This window comes from Homo sapiens, chromosome 12, assembly GCF_000001405.40.
Source record: "Homo sapiens chromosome 12, GRCh38.p14 Primary Assembly".
NCBI classification, from domain to species: domain Eukaryota; kingdom Metazoa; phylum Chordata; class Mammalia; order Primates; family Hominidae; genus Homo; species Homo sapiens.
Genome location: NC_000012.12, coordinates 21,274,965 through 21,291,955, shown reverse-complemented (window position 1 = coordinate 21,291,955; position 16,991 = coordinate 21,274,965). Strand labels below are relative to the sequence as shown.

General features: G+C 37.5%; 1 protein-coding gene across 42 annotated transcripts in view; it reads left to right on the top strand.

Annotated features, from left to right (window-relative positions):
- The window catches only part of SLCO1A2 (solute carrier organic anion transporter family member 1A2), a 155,035-nt gene that overhangs the window by 127,679 nt on the left and 10,365 nt on the right, over window positions 1-16,991 (top strand). For 39 of the 42 annotated variants that reach the window (NR_170343.1, NM_001386881.1, XM_011520819.2 and 36 more), the window contains one exon: window positions 16,532-16,596. The exons of 1 other annotated variant lie outside the window; for it this stretch is intronic. Coding sequence is in view for 38 of the 41 variants with exons in the window: in NM_001386881.1 (NP_001373810.1) it covers window positions 16,532-16,596 (65 nt within the window). In the remaining 3 variants the exon portion in view is untranslated. Of the gene's footprint in view, window positions 1-3,518; window positions 3,821-16,531; window positions 16,597-16,991 lie in introns of all 42 variants that reach the window. 2 more of the 42 variants (NR_170341.1, NR_170340.1) reach the window with 1 other exon arrangement.

Genomic DNA, 16,991 nt, shown 5'->3' with positions numbered 1-16,991 from the left:
TCGCTACTTTTCTTCCTTATTTCTTAGAGTTAAATGAGTGGACCTCTCATTTTGTGACAAAAGAGACACATTTATATCTTAGGGTAGGCCGTATAAAATGGCCATTTTGATAGGTAAAGAGTGGGTGCCTAGCAGCCATTTCCTAGGGTTCAACCTATAGGACAGCAGTGCAAAGCTGTCAGAAGCCCCCATCTCGCTAAGGTCACTTGATCTTTCTGAGCTCCATTTTTCTTTAATAATAATGGGCATAATAATAAATACTTGGCTCTCTTACAAGGCTACTGTGAGACATCAATGCTGAAAGACTTTCTAAAACTAGGAAATTGCAGAGCCAGTTTTCAAATTTAGGTATATTAAATAAATCTTCTTTCAACTACACCAGTCTTTGTGCCTAGTAAACAATCCTGAACATAATTTGCATTTTTTCTCTCTTTTTCTTCTTCTTTTGGAGCTCTAAAGTAGAGTTCAGTTAATCACAATGCTCAAGTCATAACACATTATCATCATAGGCCAGTGCAAGGATTCTCTCTTATTTTACTTCATTTATTTATTTATTTCTATTCAATTCCCTACTTCCAGTCACCATAGCTGCTCACTTAAGTATGACAGATAGATGTCTTAAATATGTATTTCCTTTGTAAAATATTAGAATTTTTTGTGTGCATCTGTTTTTATATTCACAACAATGGTGGTGTGGTGTTAAGTCTTGTTCCGATTCATAAGGTAGATGCATAGATAAATTCACCAGTCCTATTTAGAGTAATTTTTATATCATCACTGCATGAGAGTTAGAATTATCTAACTTTGTGATGTTGACTAATCCAATGGGTGTAAAATACTAATGATAGCTCATTGATGTGTCAATATGTGATGTCCTGATACACTGAGCTTAAGCATCTCTTCAAATAACTTTGTAGCTAAAAGTTATTCATGATGCTTATTCAATTTATTTTACCCACTTTACTCATTATATTTCCTGCATCCTATGTTTTTCTTGATGAATTTGATGATTACTATGTAAATTACAGATATTAATGTAATACTGTTTATATGATACAATTATCTTCACTTAGTCTGTCTTCTTTCTTTTAACTTTTACAGTGCCATTTATGAAATGAAATCCTAAATTTTGTTGTACTAAAATCTAACAAGTTTCTTACCTTAGTGTTTGTGTATTTGGAAGAGAAGTCACATTTTTAAAATTGCTTCCACATTTCTAACTTATAAAAATATTCCCTTAAATTTTATTCCCCCCTGGCTTTCCCGCTTTACCTTTTGCATAGTTTTTTAAGCCATCTCAAATCTATTTTTATATGTGGTTTAAGGGACATAGATATCCAGTGTTATTTTTCTCCGAATAATAAAGTTGTTTTCCAAAATCATAGTGTATATAATACGTCCTTTTTCCTTTGATTTGTGGTGCCACCATCTCAAGTTTTTATAATTAGTGAGTCTATTTTTCATCCTTATTCTGCTCCACAGATTTATTTGCCTGTTCCCATACCAGCGTCACCTTGATTTAATTACTTTGGCCTTGCAAATGTTAATATCTCATATGGTAACTTTGCCTCACCCACCTGCCATCTTCACTTTTCCTTTATTCTTTCTTTCTCAAACTTATTTTGCTGTCTGTGGATCTTTATATCTTCATAAGAATTTTGACTGAGTTTGTGTAGATTCCATAGATTACTTGGAGAAAATCTGACATCAAATATTTTTGAACATGTAATATCCTGTCATTTGCTTAAATATTCCTTTGTATCCTTAAAGTTCTTAAAAATTTTTCATAAAGGTGATGTGCCATTAGATTGCTTCTTAAGTACTATATATAAATATATAAATTATATATGCACATATATACATATATATGTCTCTATATGCACACACACATATGTACATACAGCCACACAGATACATACACACACGCATACATACACACACACACACTGAGAAAAACAAACGGTTTCTCTATTCAAACAGAACACTTCTGATAGCCAGATGTGTGTATTATTTTCCTACACTGTTCAATTCTGCAACACCAACTGGGTGTTCTACTGTTCCATGCAATTCTAGTGCTATCTGCATAGACTTTGCATCAGATGGCAAAAGTTAAACGGTTCAGTCCTACAAGACTGCCCCCACTTTAGATGTCAATCACAAAATCACAAGTCCAGACACCCTGGGCTGCTTTTTTTTTTTTTTACCCTGGGCTTCTGACTGACAAACGATGCATTAAGGTTGATGCCTCCATTTTCTAGAATGGTTCACAGAACTCAGGGAAGAAACACTTTTCTTACATTTACTGGTTTATTATGAAGGTTATTATAAAAGACACAAATGGAAACCAGGGTGGAGTTGGGGTGTGCCACTCTCCTGGCATGTGGATATGTTTACCAACTCAGAAGCTCATCAAATCTCCTAGTTCAAGAGCTTTTAGGGAGCTTGATCTTCAGCACACACATCCCACTCCATTCTCCTGGAGGTCTGAGTGTGGGGCTGAGAATTCCAATCTTCTAATAACTTGGTCTTTCTGGTGACCAGTCCCAACATCAGTCTGGGAGGCCACCCTGTCGTCTCATTACTATAGACTCAGGTGTGATCAAAACAATCTCCTTAAGAATGACAAAATACATTCCTATCACTCAGGATGTTCCAAGGGAATTCTAAGAACTCCAAGGACACGTGTCAGAAGCTAGGGACAAAGACCAAATATATTTCTAGTGATGCCATACACACACACACACACACACACACACACACACACACACACAGAATGGTACCATTACCATCACAAATGTACAATATACATATATATCCATCTACATGTAAATATTTGTGATTGCAAATATATAGAGATATGAATATGTATATGATTTTAAACTGATTTATATTTGTATTGATTTTAAATATATTTAAATTTATATTTGTATTGCTTGTAAATAATTGTGATTATCAATGTGATTGTACATGGTATTTTGTATGTATATGTATATATGTGTATCATTTCCCCATATACAAATATAAATTTTATATCTAGATTATAATTACATAGCATATAATTAAAATTATACATAAAATAAATCAGAAGTAAAAATTAGATTTAAAAAATTAATCATATATAAATATAGTTTTTTTAATTTTAAATTTTTATGGGTATATAGTAGGTGTATATATTTATGGGTTATGTGAGATATTCTGATACAGGCATGCAGTGTGTAATAACCATATTAGGGTAGATGGGGTATCCATTCCCTCAAGCATTTATCCTTTGTGTTACAAGCAATTCATTTATACTCTTTTAGTTATTTTAAAATGTACGAGTAAATTATTTTCCACTATAGTCACTCTAATACACTATCAAATAGTAGGTTTAATTCATTCTTTCCATTTTTTCGTACCTATTAACTATCTCTACTTCCCCACCACACCCAGGCTACCCTTTCCAGCCTCTGGTAACAACCCTTCTGCTCTCTATCTCCATGAGTTCAATTGCTTTCATTTTTTCTTTTTTTTCTCAGATGGAGTCTCATTCTGTTGTCCAGGCTGGAGTGCAGTGGCACAATCTTGGCTCACTGCAACCTCCGCCTCCCTGGCTCAAGCGATCCTCCTGCTTCAGCCTCCTGAGTAGCGGGGACTACAGGCATGCACCACCACACCCACTAATTTTTGTATTTTTAGTAGAAACAGTGTTTTATTATGTTGGCCCGGCTGGTCTTGAAGTCCTGATCTCAGATGATCCATCTGCTTTGGCCTCCCAAAGTGCTGGGATTACAGGCATGAGCTATCGTGCCCAGCCTGTTCTCATTTTTAGCTCCCACAAGTAAGTGAGGACATGCAAAGTTTGTCTTTTGGTGCCTGCCCTACTTTACTTAACGTTATGACCTCCAGTTCCATTCATGTTGTTGCAAATGAAAGGGTCTCATTCTTTTTTTTTTTTTTTTTTTATTATACTTTAAGTTTTAGGGTACATGTGCACATTGTGCAGGTTAGTTACATATGTATACATGTGCCATGCTGGTGCGCTGCACCCACTAACTCGTCATCTAGCATTAGGTATATCTCCCAATGCTATCCCTCCCCCCTCCCCCCACCCCACCACAGTCCCCAGAGTGTGATATTCCCCTTCCTGTGTCCATGTGATCTCATTGTTCAATTCCCACCTATGAGTGAGAATATGCGGTGTTTGGTTTTTTGTTCTTGCGATAGTTTACTGAGAATGATGGTTTCCAGTTTCATCCATGTCCCTACAAAGGACATGAACTCATCATTTTTTATGGCTGCATAGTATTCCATGGTGTATATGTGCCACATTTTCTTAATCCAGTCTATCATTGTTGAACATTTGGGTTGGTTCCAAGTCTTTGCTATTGTGAATAGAGCCGCAATAAACATACGTGTGCATGTGTCTTTATAGCAGCATGATTTATAGTCGTTTGGGTATATACCCAGTAATGGGATGGCTGGGTCAAATGGTATTTCTAGTTCTAGATCCCTGAGGAATCGCCACACTGACTTCCACAATGGTTGAACTAGTTTACAGTCCCACCAACAGTGTAAAAGTGTTCCTATTTCTCCACATCCTCTCCAGCACCTGTTGTTTCCTGACTTTTTAATGATTGCCATTCTAACTGGTGTGAGATGATATCTCATAGTGGTTTTGATTTGCATTTCTCTGATGGCCAGTGATGATGAGCAATTTTTCATGTGTTTTTTGGCTGCATAAATGTCTTCTTTTGAGAAGTGTCTGTTCATGTCCTTTGCCCACTTTTTGATGGGGTTGTTTGTTTTTTTCTTGTAAATTTGTTTGAGTTCATTGTAGATTCTGGATATTAGCCCTTTGTCAGATGAGTAGGTTGTGAAAATTTTCTCCCATTTTGTAGGTTGCCTGTTCACTCTGATGGTAGTTTCTTTTGCTGTGCAGAAGCTCTTTAGTTTAATTAGATCCCATTTGTCAATTTTGGCTTTTGTTGCCATTGCTTTTGGTGTTTTGGACATGAAGTCCTTGCCCACACCTATGTCCTGAATGGTAATGCCTAGGTTTTCTTCTAGGGTTTTTATGGTTTTAAGTCTAATGTTTAAATCTTTAATCCATCTTGAATTGATTTTTGTATAAGGTGTAAGGAAGGGATCCAGTTTCAGCTTTCTACATATGGCTAGCCAGTTTTCCCAGCACCATTTATTAAATAGGGAATCCTTTCCCCATTGCTTGTTTTTCTCAGGTTTGTCAAAGATCAGATAGTTGTAGGTATGCGGCGTTATTTCTGAGGGCTCTGTTCTGTTCCATTGATCTATATCTCTGTTTTGGTACCAGTACCGTGCTGTTTTGGTTACTGTAGCCTTGTAGTATAGTTTGAAGTCAGGTAGTGTGATGCCTCCAGCTTTGTTCTTTTGGCTTAGGATTGACTTGGCGATGCGGGCTCTTTTTTGGTTCCATATGAACTTTAAAGTAGTTTTTTCCAATTCTGTGAAGAAAGTCATTGGTAGCTTGATGGGGATGGCATTGAATCTGTAAATTACCTTGGGCAGTATGGCCATTTTCACGATATTGATTCTTCCTACCCATGAGCATGGAATGTTCTTCCATTTGTTTGTATCCTCTTTTATTTCCTTGAGCAGTGGTTTGTAGTTCTCCTCAAAGAGGTCCTTCACATCCCTTGTAAGTTGGATTCCTAGGTATTTTATTCTCTTTGAAGCAATTGTGAATGGGAGTTCACTCATGATTTGGCTCTCTGTTTGTCTGTTGTTGGTGTATAAGAATGCTTGTGATTTTTGTACATTGATTTTGTATCCTGAGACTTTGCTGAAGTTGCTTATCAGCTTAAGGAGATTTTGGGCTGAGACAATGGGGTTTTCTAGATAAACAATCATGTCATCTGCAAACAGGGACAATTTGACTTCCTCTTTTCCTAATTGAATACCTTTTATTTCCTTCTCCTGCCTGATTGCCCTGGCCAGAACTTCCGACACTATATTGAATAGGAGTGGTGAGAGAGGGCATCCCTGTCTTGTGCCAGTTTTCAAAGGGAATGCTTCCAGTTTTTGCCCATTCAGTATGATATTGGCTGTGGGTCTGTCATAGACAGCTCTTATTATTTTGAAATACGTCCCATCAATACCTAATTTATTGAGAGTTTTTAGCATGAAGGATTGGTGCATTTTGTCAAAGGCTTTTTCTGCATCTATTGAGATAATCATGTGGTTTTTGTCTTTGGCTCTGTTTATATGCTGGATTACATTTATTGATTTGCGTATATTGAACCAGCCTTGCATCCCAGGGATGAAGCCCACTTGATCATGGTGGATAAGCTTTTTGATGTGCTGCTGGATTCGGTTTGCCAGTATTTTATTGAGGATTTTTGCATCAATGTTCATCAAGGATATTGGTCTAAAATTCTCTTTTTTGGTTGTGTCTCTGCCCGGCTTTGGTATCAGAATGATGCTGGCCTCATAAAATGAGTTAGGGAGGATTCCCTCTTTTTCTATTGATTGGAATAGTTTCAGAAGGAATGGTACCAGTTCCTCCTTGTACCTCTGGTAGAATTCGGCTGTGAATCCATCTGGTCCTGGACTCTTTTTTGTTGGTAAACTATTGATTATTGCCACAATTTCAGCTCCTGTTATTGGTCTATTCAGAGATTCAACTTCTTCCTTGTTTAGTCTTGGGAGAGTGTATGTGTCAAGGAATGTATCCATTTCTTCTAGATTTTCTAGTTTTATTTGTGTAGAGGTGTTTGTAGTATTCTCTGATGGTAGTTTGTATTTCTGTGGGATCGGTGGTGATATCCCCTTTATCATTTTTTATTGTGTCTATTTGATTCTTCTCTCTTTTTTTCTTTATTAGTCTTGCTAGTGGTCTATCAATTTTGTTGATCCTTTCAAAAAACCAGCTCCTGGATTCATTAATTTTTTGAAGGGTTTTTTATGTCTCTATTTCCTTCAGTTCTGCTCTGATTTTAGTTATTTCTTGCCTTCTGCTAGCTTTTGAATGTGTTTGCTCTTGCTTTTCTAGTTCTTTTAATTGTGATGTTAGGGTGTCAATTTTGGATCTTTCCTGCTTTCTCTTGTGGGCATTTAGTGCTATAAATTTCCCTCTACACACTGCTTTGAATGCGTCCCAGAGATTCTGGTATGTTGTGTCTTTGTTCTCGTTGGTTTCAAAGAACATCTTTATTTCTGCCTTCATTTCGTTATGTACCCAGTAGTCATTCAGGAGCAGGTTGTTCAGTTTCCATGTAGTTGAGCGGTTTTGAGTGAGATTCTTAATCCTGAGTTCTAGTTTGATTGCACTGTGGTCTGAGAGATAGTTTGTTATAATTTCTGTTCTTTTACATTTGCTGAGGAGAGTTTTACTTCCCAGTATGTGGTCAATTTTGGAATAGGTGTGGTGTGGTGCTGAAAAAAATGTATATTCTGTTGATTTGGGGTGGAGAATTCTGTAGATGTCTATTAGGTTCGCTTGGTGCAGAGCTGAGTTCAATTCCTGGGTATCCTTGTTAACTTTCTGTCTCATTGATCTGTCTAATGTTGACAGTGGGGTGTTAAAGTCTCCCATCAGTATTGGCCTGCGCCCACTGTCTGGCACTCCCTAGTGAGATAAACCCGGTACCTCAGATGGAAATGCAGAAATCACCCGTCTTCTGCATCGCTCACACTGGGAGCTGTGGACCGGAGCTGTTCCTATTTGGCCATCTTGGCTCCTCCCCCTCATTCTTTTTTTTATGGCTGAATATTACTCCATCCTGTATATGTACCACATTTTCTTTATCCATTCATCTATTGCTGGACACTTAGGTTGCTTCCAAATCTTGACTATTGTGAATAGTGCTGCAATAAACATGGGAGTGCAGATATCTCTTCGATACACTGACTTCCTTTCTTTTGGGTATATATTAATACCTAGAAGTGGGATTGCTGGATCATATGGTAGCTCTATTTTGAGTTTTTTGAGGAACCTCCAAACTGTTCTGCATAGTAGTTGTACTTATTTACATTCCCACCAACAGTGTAGGAGGGTTCCCTTTACTCTACATACTCACCAGTATTTGTTATTGCCTGTTTTTGTATAAAAGTCATTTTAGCTGGGGTGAGATGATATCTCATTGCAGTTTTGATTTGCATTCCTCTCTTGATCATTGATGCTGAGCACCTTTTCATAAAATTGCCATTTGTATTTATTCTTCTGAGAAATGTCTCAAATTTTGCTCATTTGTTAATTGGATTATTAGATTTTTTTTCTATAGAGTTGTTTGAGCTCCTTACATATTCTGGTTATTAATCCCTTGTCAGATGGGTAGCTTGCAAATAATTTCTCTCATTCTGTGAGTTGTCTCTTCATCTTGTTGTTTCCTTTGCTGTGCAGAAGCTTCTTAACTTGATGTGATCCCATTTATCCATTTTTTTTTCATTAGTTATCTGTGCCTGTGGTGTATTACTCAAGAAATCTTTGTTCAGTCCAATGTCCTGGAGAGTTTCCTGAATGTTTTCTTGCAGTAGTTTGTTAGTTGGAGGTCTTAGATTTAAGTCTTTCATCGATTTTGATTGATTTTTGAATATGGCAAGAAATATGGGTCTAGTTTCACTCTTCTGCTTATGGAAATTCCATTTTCCCTGCACCATTTATTGAAGAGACTGTCTTTTCCCCAATGTACATTCTTGGCATCTTTGTCAAAAATGAGTTCACCATAGATGAATGGATTTTTTTTCAGAGTTCTCTATTCTGCTCCATTGGTCTATGTGTCTGTTTTTATGCCAGTACCATGCTGTTTTGGTTACTATAGGTCTGTGATATAAATTGAAGTCAAGTAATGTGATTCCTCCAGTTTTGTTCTTTTTGCTTTGGATAACTTTGGCTATCCTGGATCTTTTGTGGTTCCATATTAGGATTACCTTTTCTATTTCTGTGGGGAATGTCATTGGTTTATTGATAGAAATAGCATCAAATCTGTAGATTGCAGATTCCTTTGTTTGGTTTTAGCAATATTGTTTCTTTCAATTTATGAGCATATAATATATTTTCATTTATTTGTATCCTCTTCAATTTCTTGCACCAATGTTTTACAGTTTTTATTGTAGAGATCTTTCACTTCTTTAGGGTAATTCTTAGTGATTTTATTGCATTTGTAGCTATTGTAAATAGAATTACTTTTTTTTAGACTGTTTGCTGTTGGCATATACAAACACTACTGATTTTTTATGTTGATTTTGTATCCTGCAACTTTACTGAATTTGTTTATCATTTTGAATGGCTTTTTGGTGGAGTCTTTAGGCTTTTCAAAATAGAAGATCATATCATCTATGAACAATGATAATTTGACTTCTTAATTTCAAGTTTGGATGCTCTTTGTTTATATTTCTTGTCTGATTGCTCTAGCTCAGACTTCTAGCAGTATCTTGAATAACAATGGTGAAAGTGGGCATCCTTGTTATGTCCCAGATTACAGAATAAGGGCTTTCAGTTTTTCCCCACTCAGTATGATACTTACTATAGGTCTCTCATATATGGCCTTTATTATGTTGAGCCATGTTCCTTTTATACCCAGTTTTTTGAGAGTTTTTTTTTTTACCATAAAGCGATGCTGAATCTTATCAAATGTTTTTTCCACATTAATTGAAATGATCATATGGTTTTATTCGTTTGTTCTTTTGGTATGATGTATCATATAGATTGATTTGCATATGTTGAACTATTCTTGCATCTCTGGGATAAATCCCATTTGGTCATGATGAATGATCTTCTTAATGTGTTGTTGAATTTGGTTTAATAGTATTTTGTTGAGGATTTTTGCATCAGTATTCATCAGTGATATTAGCCTTTAGTTTTCCTTTTTTTTTTTTTTCTTATGTGTCTTTTTCTGGTTTTGGTATCAGGATAATACTGGCCTCATAGAATGAGTTTGGAAGGCTTCTCTCCTCTTCTGTTTTTCAGAATAGTTTGAGTATATTGATATTATTTCCTTTTTAAATGTTTGGTAGAATTAGGCAGTGAAGCCATTGGGTCATTTCTTTGCTGGAGACTTTATTACAGCTTCAATCTCATTACTTTTTATTGATCTGTTCAGGTTTTGGATTTCTTCATAGTTTAATCTTGATGGGTTGTATGTGTCTAGGATTTCATCCATTTCTTCTAGGTTTTCCAAGTTATTGGCATATAGTTGTTCATAATAGCCTTGAGTTTAACATAGTTTAACAATAATGTCTTAAAATCCTTTGGATGTCTGTGGTATCAGTTGTAATGTTTTCTTTTTCATATATGATTTTATTTATTTGAGTCTTCTCTCTTTTTTCCTAGTTATTTTGGCTAAAGGGTCATCAGTTTTGTTTTTCTTTTCAAATAACTATTTCTTTTGTTTTGTTGATCTTTTGTATTGTTTTCTTCATTTCAATTTCATTTATTTCTACTCCGATCTTTATTATTTCTTTTCTTCTACTAATTTTGTGTTTGGTTTGCTCTTGCTTTTCTAATTCTTTAATATGCATTATTGGTTTTTTTTCTTTTCTTTTTTTTTTGAGACGGAGTCTCACTCTGTCGCTCAAGTTAGAGTGCAGTGGCGCGATCTTGGCTCACTGCAACCTCTGCCTCCTGGTTTTAAGCAATTCTTCTGCCTCAGCCTCCTGAGAAGTTGGGACTACAGTCTCACACCACCACACCCAGCTAATTTTTGTATTTTTAGTAGAGACGGGATTTCACCATGTTGGCCAAGATGGTCTTGATCTCCTGACCTTGTGATCCACCCACCTCAGCCTCCCAAAGTGCTGGGATTACAGGTGTGAGCCACCACGCCTGGCCCATTGGGTTGTTTATTTGAAGTTTTTCTTCTTTTTTGATGTAGGCATTTATAGTTATAAACTTCCTTCTTAGTACTGCTTTCACTGTATCCCATGAGTTTTGGTATGTTGTGTTTCTGTTATTATTTGTTTTAAGAAATTTTTAAATTTTCTTCTTAATTTTCTCATTGACCCACTGGTCATTCAGGAGCATATTGCTCAATTTCCACGTGTTTGTATAGTTTTCAAATTTCCTCTTGTTATTGATTTGTAGTTTTATTTCCTTATGGTCAGAGAAGATACTTGATATTATTTCAATTTTTTTTGGATGTTTTAAGACTTGGTTTGTGAGCTAACATATGGTCTATCCTTGAGAATGATCCATGTGCTGGATTCATATTTGTATTCTGTAGCCATTGGATAAAATGTTCTGTAAGTATTTATTAGGTTCATTTGGTTTATAATTTGGATGAAATCCAATGTTTCTTTGTTTATTTATTTATTTTTTTTTTTGGTCTGGAAGATCTGTCCAATGCTGAAAGTGAGGTGTGAATTCTTCAGCTATTATTGTATTAGGCTCTATCTCTCTCTTTAGCTATAATAATATTTGCTTTATATATCTGGGTGCTTCAATGTTGGGTGAATACATATTTATAACTTTTATGTCCTCTTGCTTAATTAATCCTTTTATCCTTATATAATGATCTTCTTCGTCTCTTCTTACAGTTTTTTTCTTAAAATCTATTTTGTCTGATATAAGTAATGCTACTCCTGCTCTTTTTTGGTTTCTATTGGCATGGAATATCTTTTTCATCCCTTTATTTTCTGTGTCTGTCTTTATGAGTGACATATGTTTCTAGTAGACAACAGATTATTGGGTATTTTTTTAAATCCATTCAGCTACTTTATGTCATTGTATTGGAGAGCTTAGTCTATTTACATTAAATAATCTTATTCGTAAGAAAGGTCTTACTGCTGCCATTTTGTTATTTGTTTTCTGGTTTTCTCTTCCTTTTTTTCTTCCTTTCAGTGAAGGTGATTATCTCTAGTGGTATGCTTTAATTTCTTGCTTTTTTATTTTTTGTGTATCCATTGTATGTTTTTTGATTTGAGGTTACCATGAGGCTTGCAAATGCTATCTTATAGCCCATTTTTTTAGGTGATAATATGTTAAAATTGCTTGCATAAAGAAACTAATAAGCAAAAAGAAAACTAAAAAAAAAACTCTACATTTTAACTTTGTCCTCCTAATTTTTAACATTTTGTTATTTCTATTTCCATTTTATTTTACTGTCTGTGTCTTGAAAAGTTGTTAATATTTTTGATTGGTTCATCTTTTAGTCTTCCTAGTTAAGAGTAGTTTATACATCACAGTTACAGTGTTATAATATTCTGCATTTTTTTGCTTACTTACTATTTCCAGTGATCTTTGTACCTTCAGATGAATTCTCATTGCTCATCAACATCCTTTCCTTTCTGATTGAAGTACTCCCTTTAGCATTTCTTATAGCATGGGCTGGTATTGATGAAATCCCTCAGTGTTTGCTTGTCTGGGAAAATCTTTATTTCTTCTTTATGTTTGGAGGATATTTTCACCAGATATAAAGGTAAAAGTTTTTTTCCTTCAGCACTTTAAGTATGTCATGCCACTCTCTCTTGGCCTGTAAGGTTTCCACCGAAAAGTCTGCTGCCAGTTGTATTGGCGCTCCATTGTATGTTAGTCACTTCGTTTCTCTTGCTGCTTTTAGAATTGTTTATTTATACATGACCTTGCGGGGTTTATTGAATTCCTTGAGGTAATCTTTGGGTTAAATCTGCTTGGTATTCTATAACCTTCTTGCACTTGGAATCAATACCTTTCTCTAGGTTTGGGAAGTTCTCTGCTATTATCCCTTTGAATAATCTTTCTACTCTTATCTCTTTCTCTACCTTTTCTTTAAGGCAAATAGCTCTTAGATTTGCCCTTTAGAGACTATTTTGTAGATCGTGTAGGTGCACTTCACTTTTTTTTATTCTTTTTTTCTTTTGTATCCCTTACTGTGTATTTTCAAACAGCCTATCTTCAAGCTCACTAAATCTCTCTTCTGCTTGATAAATTCTGCTATTAAGAGATTCTGAGGCATTCTTTAGTATGTCATTGCATTTTTTTAACTGTAGAATTTCTGCTTGATTCTTTTTATTTATGTCAACCTCTTTGTAAAATTCATCTAATAGTGTTCTGCATTTTTTCTCTGTATTATCTTGAATTTCTTTGAGTTTCCTCAAAATAGCCATTTTGAATTCTCCATCTGAAAAGTCACATATCTCTCTTTCTCCAGGATTGGTCCCTGCTGCCTTGTTTAGTTCCTTTGGTGAGGTCATGTTTTCCTGTATGTTCTTTATGCTTGTCAATGTTTGTTGATGTCTGGGCATTGAAGAGTTAGGCATTTATTGTAGTCTTCACAGTCTGGGTTTGTTTGTGCCATCCTTCTTGAGCAGGCTTTCCAGGTATTCAAAAGGACTTGGGCCCGCAAGCCCAATAATGCTGTGGTTCATGTAGACTCACAGAGTTACCACTTTGGAGGTCTTGGATAAGATCCAAAAGAATTCTCTGGATTACCAGGCAGAGATTCTTGTTCTTTTGCCTTAATTTCTTCCAAACAAGTGGAGTCTCTCTGTGCTAAGTTGCCCAGAAGTGGGGGTAGGGTGATGCACCCCTGTGGCCACCACCACTGGGACTGTGCTGGGTTAGATTGGAATCCAGCACAGCACTAGTCTCACCCAAGGCCCACTGTTACCTCTACCTGGCTGCCACCTATGTTTGTTCAAGACCCAACTCTACAATCATCCAGTGGTAATCCAGCCATGTTTTTGTCTTTCCCTTCAGAGCTGTGAGTTTTCCCAGTCCCCAGGAAGGTCCAGAGATGCCATCCAGGAGCCTGGGATGGGTAAAAAATCATACAAATCTACCTTATGCTCTATGCTAGTGTGGCTGAGGTGGCACTCAGACTATGAGAAACACCTTTTTACTCTTCTCTCCCCTTTCCAAAGTCAGAGGAGCCCCACCCCATGGCCACCACCACCACCACAGGCCCACAGGGAATACTGCCAGGCCACCACTGACGTTTACTTAAGGCACAAGAGTTCTTTAGCCAGCCTGTGTGAATGCTGCTACGCCAGGACTCACCCTTCAGGGCAGTTAGCTCTCCTCTGGCCCAGGAGGGCAGGTTCAGAAATGCCATCCAAGACCCAAGGCCCAGAATCTGGAACTGCAAAAACATGCTTGGTGCTCTACCCCTGGGGTCCCTACCCACACTGGGCCACAGAATATTACCAGACCCTGGCCTGGTAGGAATCTGGCCTCACAGCAGGAGGGAGCAGCGAGCATTACCCCCTGAGTTCTGCCTCCTGTCAGATCAGCTGTAGCATTAGATTCTCATAGGAGCGTGAACCCTATTGTGAACTGCACATGTGAGGGATCTAGGCTGCTCACTCCTTATGGGAATCTAACTAATGCCTGATGATCTGAGGTGGAATATTTTCATCCAAAATCATCCCCAACTCCTGCCTGGTCAGTGGAAAAATTGTGTTCCATGAAACCAGTCCCTGGTGCAAAATGTTTGGGAACCGCTGCTCTACCCCATTGTGGCTGAGCTGTTACCTAAGATGCAAGACAGAATTCCCTTTGCTTCCTGTGCCTGTGCTTTTCTCAAACAGAGAGTCTCTCACCACAGCTGCCACAGCTCTGAATGTGCTGAGTCTCATCTCAATACAGCACACCTGAGTCTCACCTGGGGCCCATAACATACTACCTGCGTATAGCTGTTGGTTATTCAGGCCCCAAGGGCTCTTTAGCCAGCATGTGATGTATCCTGCCAGTACTGAGTCCTTCTCTTCAAGACAGCAGGTTCCCTTCTGATCCAGGGTATGTCTAGAAATGCCAGCCAGGAGCTAGGGCCTGGAATGGGCACCTCATGACCCTTACCAGTGCCCTATCCTACTGTGGCTGAGCTGGTATCACAGATGCAAGACAAAGTCCTCTTTACTCATTTCTCCCCTCTCCTCAAGTAGAAGGAAGGAATCTCTTTTGGAGCCACAAGCTGTGCTGCCTGGGCTTGGGTGAAGGGTGGCACAAGCACTTCCTTAGCTTCCCTGGCTGGTGTCTCAGTAGGGAAGTGACTCCCAAGTCCATTGGCTCTGAGCCCAGCTCAGCACTAGAACTTGCCTAGGAGTTGTAGTCCTTGCAACCTAGACTGCCTTTCAAGTTTATTTAGGGAGAGCACGTTTGCCCATGGTGGCGAGGCTTGCTGGAACTCAAGTTCTAACTGTGGGGCTGGGTGATTACTTTCTGGTGATAGCTAGTCTAAATGCTCCCTCCATGGGTAAGAATCAGCTGAGTTTAGCTTGGTTTTGCTTTCCACTGTGACAGGGCAGCACAGGATTTAATAAAGTCTCAGAATCACTGCATTCTCCCTCTCCCAAGTGCTCAGATTCCTTCTCCATGCCATGTGGCCACTGCTGGGGGATGGGAGGGCTGGTGTTGGCAATTCAAGACCATTTTTCCTGCTCTCTTCAGTGCCTCTTTCTGTGATATGAAGTTAAAACCAGGTATTGTGAGTGCTCACCTGATTTTTCATTCTTACAAAGGTTTTTTTTGGTTTTTTTTTGTATGTAGATAGTTGTTAAATTTGGTGTTCCTTCAGGAGGGATGATTGGTGGAGACTTCTATTTAGCTCCTTGCTCTACCCCTCCCTTATAAATTATTGCACTATTTTGGACAGATAGGTCTGTGTGTGTGTGTGTGTGTGTGTGTGTGTGTGTGTGTCCATATTTATCTCTATCATCTCTACGCATAAGTAGAGATAGGTATATATGTATATGTGTGGTACTGTTCTCTTATATTTTCTAGTTGGTTATTGCTGGTTTAGAGGAATGCTGCTGTTTTTAAAAATTTACTTTTTATACAGCATCCTTTCTTATTTGTTCTCATAATTTGTTGATTTTGTTAGGTTTTCTATGTAGGTTTTTCAATGTGCAAATATGACAAGTTTTGTCTTTTCACTTCCAAACCTTACACATCTGAGACTTCTAAAATTCTCTTATAGCATAAATTAAAACCTCCAAGATTTATTTAACTGTAGTTGTGATAGTGAGTATTCTTGTTCTTTTCTAATCTTAGTAAGAACTATATAAAATTTATTTATTGTTATTCTTACTGCAGATTTTTAGTGTATCTAGTTTCTGTGTTATTAAAAACAATTTTTTTTTTTTGAGATGGAGTGTAGCTCTATCACCCAGGCTGGAGTGCAGTGGCGCAATTTCAGCTCATTGCAACCTCTGCCTCCCAGGTTCAAGTGATTCTCCTGCCTCAGCCTCCCAGGTAGCTGGGATTACAGGCACCCACCACCACACCCAGCTAATTTTTTGTATTTTTAGTAGAGACAGGGTTTCACCATGTTGACCAGGCTGGTCTCGAGCTCCTGACCTCAGGTGATCCGTCTGCCTTGGCCTCCCAGTGTGCTGGGATTACAGGGGTGAGCCACTGCGCCTGACCAATAAAATAGGTATTAATAAGAAAAAGTGATGAGTAAAGTGCCAGTGACCAGAAATGGGCTCCTGTGTAGGCTGCCAGCTGGATAATAAAGCCCTGAATAACCAATAAGTGAGCATGAAAGTAAAATTTTGAATGTTCATTATGTGTGACTAGCTTACAACTGGCCTTTTCAAGACAATATGATAGTTTTAAATCTTTATTTTTCTTTTATTTACAAACTTATTTACTTTTCAGGTGTATGAAATCTGAAGAGAAGTCCCTTGGTGTGGGATTACATACATTTTGCACAAGAGTATTTGGTAAAAATAGTTATTTTTTCCCACATCCTATCAGAACAATATTATTATTATTATTTTTTATTACACTTTAAGTTTTAGGGTACATGTGCACAACGTGCAGGTTTGTTACATATGTATACATGTGCCATGTTGGTGTGCTGCACCCATTAACTCATCATTTAACATTAGGTGAATCTCCTAATGCTATCCCTCCCCCCTTCCCCCACCCCACAACAGGCCCTGGTGTGTGATGTTCCCCTTCCTGTGTCCATGTGCAGAACAATATTAAATACTAGATAAACAAGGTAATATTATTTCAGAAAAGCAGTCTAGCAAATGTCCCTTCTGTATGTAAAAAGCACGTTATAAATATGAGAATGCAGCACACAAAGAGATAGAGAATCTCTTTTACTTGA